Consider the following 6,144-nt stretch of genomic DNA (forward strand, 5'->3'; position numbering starts at 1 on the left):
GAGGCCTTTATAGTCTCTGCTCAAGAGACTAGAGTCTTCCATTCTTAACGAAACACCCAAATATCTTAATAATTGGGCAAAATCTAAATATCAGAGATAATTTTATCTTGAAGATTGTTAAATTATAACGGTGATTCACTACCTTGCCACGTCTCTGAGTCAAAAATTAGGTCTTTGTTTAGGAATCAATCATAATCTGCAATTTGGAAATAGGAAGATTTTAGAAGACTCAGACATTGACTTTCTTGTGTGCAAAAAAAAAGATGTATTGAGATAAGACAAGTCTTTCCTTGCAAGGATACCTCTAATGCTCATACACCACCTCCCCTAACGTTAATATAGCTTCCAGGTCACTAACCAGTGTCAGAGAGCAGCCCATGCAACTAGAAATTCAAAAGATGTCGAACATAGGGTCAAGCTTAGAATAAGACGTCTTAGCTAATTAAGTATGCTTTTTTCCCGAAATTCATATTAACAAAATCTTGGATATGTCAGAGAATGCATTCTAAGTTCACTCAACCTAGGAGGGAGAAACATAATTTTAAATTAAGAGCTGAAGCATTCTTGTCCTAACAGAAAGCAAGGAAAACGAAATATCACACCACAGGAGGGATTTCACAAATTAGTGTCAACATCAAAACCTTAAAATAGACAAGGAGAATGGAGATTCAAATGAACTCTTGTACTTTTGTTCAGAGAAGAGATGGTTCTGAGAGAATGACAGTGAACTCACCCCAGCTGGTTTAGTTGGTGCTTTCAACTGCTGCTTCTGATCAACTCCTTTAGCTAGAATAAACTGATGAGGATTTTGGCATGTGGTATTAGCGATGGTTATTAATTTTTTCCTCTTATTTGCATTGTTCAATATAGTAAATACTAGCTGTATATGGCTACTTCAATTCAAATTAATTACAATGAAATATACTTAAATATTGAATTTTTTAGTCACTCTTGGTTCATTATTGAATATCTTCAGCTAAGATTTCCCAACGAAAGACACTAAGAGCTGGCTTAGTTAACTGGTCGTCCACAAATATTGAAGCTGTTGTTAACTCCTGATATATTCTCTGCAAAGAGAATATTCATGAGCCTCCTCCTGAAATCAGCAGCCTAGAGATAGTTTTATAAATGGGATACAAGTTGGAAATCTATATACTCTTTAAGTGTTTGAAATATTAGCTTCCCAGGGAAGAAAATCAAATTCATAAGATATGTTAGGACAATTTAACTCAAGATGTTCAAAACTGAAATGACATATTCTACAACATGTGATAAAACCACCCCCTAACAACTTAAAGCAAAACAGGGATGGACCTTAAAGACCTGCCTTTTCCTCATCCCCCAGCCAATCAGTTTTCAAATCTTGCATTTTATTTTGAAAGGTCCTTATACCCCTGGTCTCTTGTTTCTAGACTTGGCACATATTTAAGTTTGTTACCTCTCTCTACTGACTTTTCTCTCTTCAAACAGTATCTATGCCTGCCAAATGTGAACATACAAAAAACAAATCAGAATGTGCCATTCTGATTTAAACTGCTTATTAATTAATACCCTCAAGATAACATCTGGGTTCTTAGCTTCAATGAGTCAAGCCTACTTACATCTTTTTTTGTCTTTGGCTTCACATTTCCTATCACATCCCATTCCAGCAATGCCAAGCTGTGCCGGCCTTCTACCCCATCTCCATTATTTTGCCCACCCGCCGCCGCTGCTTTTTGACCCCCCGCCGCCGCGGCTTTTTGCCCCCCCTGCCGCCGCGGCTTTTTCCCGCCCCGCCGCCGCGGCTTTTTCCCCCCACCGCGCCTCCGCTTTTTGCCCGCCGCGGCTTTTTGCCCCCCAAGCGCCAAGGCTTTTTGACCACCGCGGCTTTTTGACCTTCGCCTCTGCGAATTTTGCCGCCGTGGCTTTTTGCCCGCCGCGGCTTTTTCCCCCAACTGGTGCAGCGGCTGTTTGCCCCCTGCCGCTTTTTGCCCCCCGCCGCTTTTTGCCCCCCCCGCCGCCGCGGCTTTTTCGCTGCCATGGCTTTTTCCCCCCTGCCCCCGCGGCTTTTTACCCGCCGCGGCTTTTCGCCCCCCCGCCACCGCGGCTTTTCACCAGCCGCAGCTTTTTGTCCCCCGCCGCCGCGGCTTTTTGCCCGCTGCGGCTTTTTGGCCCCCCCACCGCCGCGGCTTTTTGCCCCCCGCCGCTTTTTGCACCCCGCCGCCGCCGCGGCTTTTTCCCCCCTGCCCCCGCGGCTTTTTACCCGCCGCGGCTTTTTGCCCCAACCCCGCCTCGGCTTTTTACCCCCCGCCGCCTCGGCTTTTTGCCCCCACCCTGCCTCGGCTTTTTGACCTCCGCGGCTTTTTTCCTCCCGCCGCCGCGACTTTTCGCCCTCCGCCGCCGCGGCTTTTTGCCCTTCGCCGCTGCCGCGGCTTTTTTCCCGACCAGGCTTTTTGCCCCACCGCCGACACAGCTTTTTGCACCCTCGCCGCCATGGCTTTTTGCCGCCGCGGCTTTTTGCCCGCCGTGGCTTTCTGCCCCCACGCCGCCGCGGCTTTTTGTCCCCGCCGCCGCGGCTTTTTGCTGCCGCGACTTTTTGCCCCCGTCGCCGCCGCTTTTTGCCACCGCGACTTTTTGCCCCCGCCGCCGAGGATTTTTGTCCCCGCCGCCGCGGCTCTGAGGGCGGGAGCAGCAGACTCGGCTGCCGGCTCTACTGGCGTCCTGGCAAGGGCAGCGACCAGGGGTGCTCCTGGTCCAGCTCTCCTGGCTCAGGGATTCCTTGCCTAGGCGCCGGCGCCCCGGGCTCCTTGCCTAGGCCCCTGTGGCCTGCATAGAGTGGCGCTGCCTGCGGAGGCGATGGGAGAGAATAAGGAGGGCGGTGGCGGGGGTGATGCGGCGGCCACGGAGGGTGGCGCAGGGGCTGCGGCCAGCCGGGCGCTGCAGCAGTGCGGGCAGCTCCAGAAGCTCATCGTCATCTTCATTGGCAGCCTGTGCGGGCTGTGCACCAAGTGCGCTGTGTCCAATGACCTCACCCAGCAGGAGATACAGACCCTGGAGGTAAGGGGTTCGGGGACCCGGGCTGGGCTCCAGGAGTGGCCTGGACACCTCCTTCGGGGCCCCAGTTCACTCCTGGCTGAGTTGCATCCTTGAGCCCACGTCACCCCCTTGGAGGCTTCCCCTCCCTCCTGCACTCGCTGACGCGGCAGCCAGAGGACCCGGGACCAGCCCTCACCTTGGGCAGGATTTGTGGAGCAGGTGCGTGGTGGGAACTGGGATGGAGGCTCCAGGGTCCCGTGGGGGTGGGGGTGGGCTGCGCGAGGACATCCCCTTACCCCCTGAATTTCCATCTGGTCCAGCCCTCTCATCTTGTAGGTGAGGAAACCGAAGGCCTGAGGGAGAAATGACTTGCCAGGAACCCCTGTTAAGGAAAATTAACAAAGTGTGGTTATTAAAGAAGAACTGAGTTGGGAGTCAGACCTGGAGGCCCCCACCCTTAGGTAAGACATTATACCACCTTGAGTCTGGCCTGTTGACTGAGGGTGAGCCACTCCATCCTCATGTGATTGTGGGGTCTTAACCTCAAGGGGTTTCCTGCAGGAAGAAGCAAATGGGTTTGCTTTCCTAGCTCTGTCCAGTACGTTAGGGACCCTGAGGACTGAAGGGATTCTTGGAGAGCCATCTGGTGTATGTCATGGGTGGGTCTTTTTTGAAGGTCAGTCTGCCCAGTGGGCTGGCTCAGCCCGAATGAACTGTCTTGAATCTTTGGAGTTGTCTGTGTACTTTTAAGGGCTTCTCAGCTGTGCCCCAAAAGATCCCCCTGGAAATTAGGTGGGAAAAACCTTAACTTTTGTGGGGCCCTGTGTTTGTCTTAAAAGTTCATGCACATAGCCAGGTGTGGTGGCTCCCACCTGTTATCCTTTCCTGGATCCCTTGAGTCAAGGAGTTTGAGACCAACCCGGACAATATAGTGAGACCCCATCTCTACAAAAAAGAAAATATTAGCCAGGGGTGGTTGTGCGCATCTGTAGTCCCAGCTACTACTGTGGCTGAGGCGGGAGGAGCACTTGATCCTGCACTGAGCTGTGATCTCACCAGTGTACTCCAGCCTGGGCCACAGAGCAAGACCGTGACTCAAAAAAAAAAAAAGACAAGAAAAATTCTTCAACATTTTGCATTCTGTCCCACTATCCATTGGTTTTCATGTCAAGATTATGTCAGAAATTCTTTACAATTGCTTCCAGAAGGAGTAGCCTTTTGATCTAGTGCACAGGTGTCCAGTCTTTTGGCTTCTCAGGGCCACATTGGAAGAAGAATGCTCCTGGGCTGCACATAAAATACACTAATGCTAACAACAGCTGATGAGGTTAAAAAAAAAAAAAAGGTTTGTGCATAATTTTCATGCTACCCACCACCACAGATAGGTGGAAAAGTCCTTGTAGTCAAAGGGTTGGACACGGCTGATCTAGTGTCTTGTCGTCAGTTTTGGCTTTCTCCCTGATTCCAGAATGCAGGTAGAGATAACATGGTCTCAGGACAGCTGTTGAGATAAAAAAATTCGTTGTCATTTATTCCCAAGCACAGCTGTTTCTCATTGCATTGAAAAAGTCTCCATTCAAACTGCTGTCACATATAAAATCTACTTATGTAAGTCTGTATATTTCTGTTGTCTTGGCCTTTGTAGGCAGTAGTGTGTTTTAACCGAGCAAACTGTCCTTCCAAATAATGAAGCCGAAGTCAGCCTACCTACTTTCCATTTTTCTTCCCCTTCCATTTTTGTAACCTCAGAATAATTGTAAGAATGAATTAAGATTTGTGTTTAAGGCCAGACACAGTGTCTCAGGCCTGCATTCTCAGCACTTTGGGAGGCGGAGACAGCTGTATCGCTTGAGCTCAGGAGTTGAAGACCAGCCTGGGCAACATACTGAGACTCGGTCTTGTATAATTTAATTAAAATTGAAAAAAAGAAGATAAAAAGACCTGTGTTTAAAATTTTTAAAAAAGGGGGGAAAGTGTAATGCAAAATGTGGACTATGCCAGCTATGATTGGGAAAACTAGTTTTTCATACAGCATTATCTGTAGACTTGTATTAGCAGCATACTGGTCATATGCGTTTTGCTTTCCTCAAATATGATGAGGTAAGCTAATTTAAAGTGTGTTGGGGCTTTCTGCCGCGTGGCTTCTGGAGGTGTTGAGTCCCAATTTAGCCAATTAATTTGGGTTTAGTTTTGACATGGATAAGGGAGACCAGCTTCATTCATGGTGTACACACAGTTTTGCCAATAAGGAAAAAGAAAAGCCACCTGAATGTTCCTACTCATTAAATGCTATCTGGAGAGCTCCTACCCCACCCCCACCAAGGCCCGGGCCATTAAAAAGACTCAATGCAGCCTTTCTGGATCTCATACTGTATTCTGCAAGATACTCCTGTGAAAGAAAATTGTGCTGCATCAGCCATCTCCCTCCTGAAGATCCCTGCGGATGAGGATTTGTGTTTTGAAAGTTCTGAGAATTCCTGCAACAACAATTCTCAAACTTATTTGTCCAGGGGATCTTTTCTTCCACTGAATGTAGTTGGGGAGACACGGCCTTAAGCCTTGAGCAGAGAAAGAGACAAAAAACTGTTGGCTCACTTACAACCAAGTGTTGTGTTTATGTTTTAGGTTTTTATGAAACTGAGGTGCTGTTTGAGGTTCTAAATGAAATTGGGTGGTTGAAGAGAGGCTGGTATCCGTGTAGACTTAACCAGCCATGAGAAGTTGCCTTTTGTTGAAGGAGGTGTTTTACAAAGGGAAATAGGGTGTTTCCTGGGCATCGCATTAGCAATTAAATACATGTATCAGTGAAATGAAATGAAATGATGAGATGATGAAATGAAATGATGAAATGATGAAATGAAATGATGAAATGAAGAAATGAAATGAGATGAAATGATGAAATGAAATGGAATGATGAAAAATGATGAAATGATGACATAAAATGGTGAAATGAAATGAAATAATGAAATGAAATAATGAACTGAAATGAAATGAAATGATAAAATGATGAAATGAAATGAAAAGATGAAATGATGAATTGAGGAAATGATATGAAATGATGAAATGAAATGATGAAATGAAGTGAAGGAAGAAATGATGAAAAAATGAAATTAAATGATGAACTAATGA

The 6,144-nt window shown here is 47.0% G+C and overlaps 1 pseudogene; it reads right to left on the reverse strand.

The window, feature by feature from the left end:
• Nucleotides 1–2,049: 2,049 nt before the first annotated feature.
• Nucleotides 2,050–3,344, reverse strand: LOC101060104 (translation initiation factor IF-2-like; annotated as a pseudogene).
• Between the last annotated feature and the right edge of the window lie 2,800 nt (nt 3,345–6,144).

Source organism: Homo sapiens, chromosome 16 (assembly GCF_000001405.40).
Source record: "Homo sapiens chromosome 16, GRCh38.p14 Primary Assembly".
NCBI classification, from domain to species: domain Eukaryota; kingdom Metazoa; phylum Chordata; class Mammalia; order Primates; family Hominidae; genus Homo; species Homo sapiens.